Source organism: Homo sapiens, chromosome 7 (assembly GCF_000001405.40).
Source record: "Homo sapiens chromosome 7, GRCh38.p14 Primary Assembly".
In the NCBI taxonomy this organism is placed as follows: Eukaryota; Metazoa; Chordata; class Mammalia; order Primates; family Hominidae; genus Homo; species Homo sapiens.
Window position 1 is genome coordinate 42,539,892 of NC_000007.14, and position 1,655 is coordinate 42,541,546.

Here is a 1,655-nt window from a genome sequence, read left to right on the forward strand (position 1 = left end):
TCATTTTAATCACTATCATGATTATGTTAGGTATACCTTGCTAATCCAGGATAGTCTTCCTATCTCAAGATACCTAATTTAATTACATCTGCAAAGTCCCTTTTGTCATGGTGGGTAACATATGCACAAGTTCCATTGATTAAAATGTGAATGTCTTTAAAGGGCCGTTGTTCTGCCTGTCATAAGAACGTATAGGTTAAAAAATTAACAATATAAATTAGAAAATGTTTTAAATTGAATGAAAAAACCCCACAACATATCAAAATATGTGGGATTCAGTGAAAGCAGTGCTTAGAGAGACATTTATAGATTTTAGTGCATTAAAAAAAAAGTAAGGACTCAAATCTATGATACTCTTTAAAAAGAAGAGCAGATTAATACAAACATACAGTGGGAAGAAAACAATAAAAATAATCACAGATATAGATAAAATTAAAAAAGAAACACAATAAAGAAAATTAACCAAAGGAAAATCTGGTTTTTTTAAAGATATCAAGAAAATTGCTAAATTTCTAACCAGATTGATTAAGAAAGAGAAAATAAATTACTAATATTAGAAATAAGAAAGGGAACACCACTACTGTCAATGAAAAGAGTTAAGCTCTGTAAAATATTTGAAGATATTTATTTGAGCCAAGTATGAGTGACCATGGCCCATGACACAGCCCTCAGGAGGTCCTGAGAACATGTGCCCAAGGTGGTCAGGGTGCAGCTTGGTTTTCTACATTTTAGGGAGGCATGAGACATCAATCAAATACATTTAAGAAATACATTGGTTTGGTTCAGAAAGGTGGGACAACTCAAGGCAGGGGCTGCCAGGCTATAGGTAAATTTAAACATTTTCTGGTTGACAATTAGGTTGAGTTTGTCTAAAGACCTGGGGTCAATAGAAAGGAAATGTTCAGGTTAAGATAAAAGATTGTGGAGACTAAGGTTCTTTTGAAGTCTCATAGTGGCTGCCCTTAGAGACAATAGATGACAAATGTTTCCTATTCAGTCCTTTAAAAGGTGCTAGACAAGTAATCTCTTCAGGACTGGGAAGGCCTGGAAGAAAAAGACCTAGCTATGTTAATAGAGTTTCTTTACAGATGTAAATTTTCCCCCATAAAGGACAGCTTTGCAGGGCCACTTCAAAATATGGCAAAGAAACATGTTTTGGGGTAAAATATTTTTATTTTCTTTTTTGTCATGTAATGTTATGCCAGAGTCAGATTGGAAAGTAAGTCACAATATATCAGGTTAAATAAACCCATCTGATGACAATTTATGGTTTGTAGGGCATGACTCCCTAGACCCCTTAGATAGGAATTTGGGCAGGATGAGGAAAAACCAGAGCTTAGTCCTCACTACAGATGCTACAGACTGTAAAAGGATATTAATGAAACATTATGAACAATACTTTGCCAATAAATATAATTTAACTGACATAAAGTTTCTTTCTTCTCTAAAAAAAAGTTTAAGGAGGTTTATTCTGAGGCAGTATGAGTGACCATGGCCCAGGGAAGAGTCTCATGAGGTCCTGAGAAATTGTGCCTAAGGCAGTCAGCTTACAGTTTGGTTTTATACATTTTAGGAAGACAGGAGTTATGAGCAAAGACATAAATCAATACATGTAAGGTATACATTGGCTTCCGCCCAAAAAGATGGGCCATCTT

The 1,655-nt window shown here is 34.8% G+C and overlaps 1 annotated feature.

Moving 5' to 3' along the window:
* Positions 515–1,388: an enhancer, noted in NCBI's record as "OCT4-NANOG hESC enhancer chr7:42580005-42580878 (GRCh37/hg19 assembly coordinates)". NCBI's record gives its function as "activates a minimal SCP1, AML or CMV promoter by ChIP-STARR-seq in naive H9 embryonic stem cells {active_cell/tissue: H9 hESC(naive)}" and the evidence as "EXISTENCE:reporter gene assay evidence [ECO:0000049][PMID:30033119]".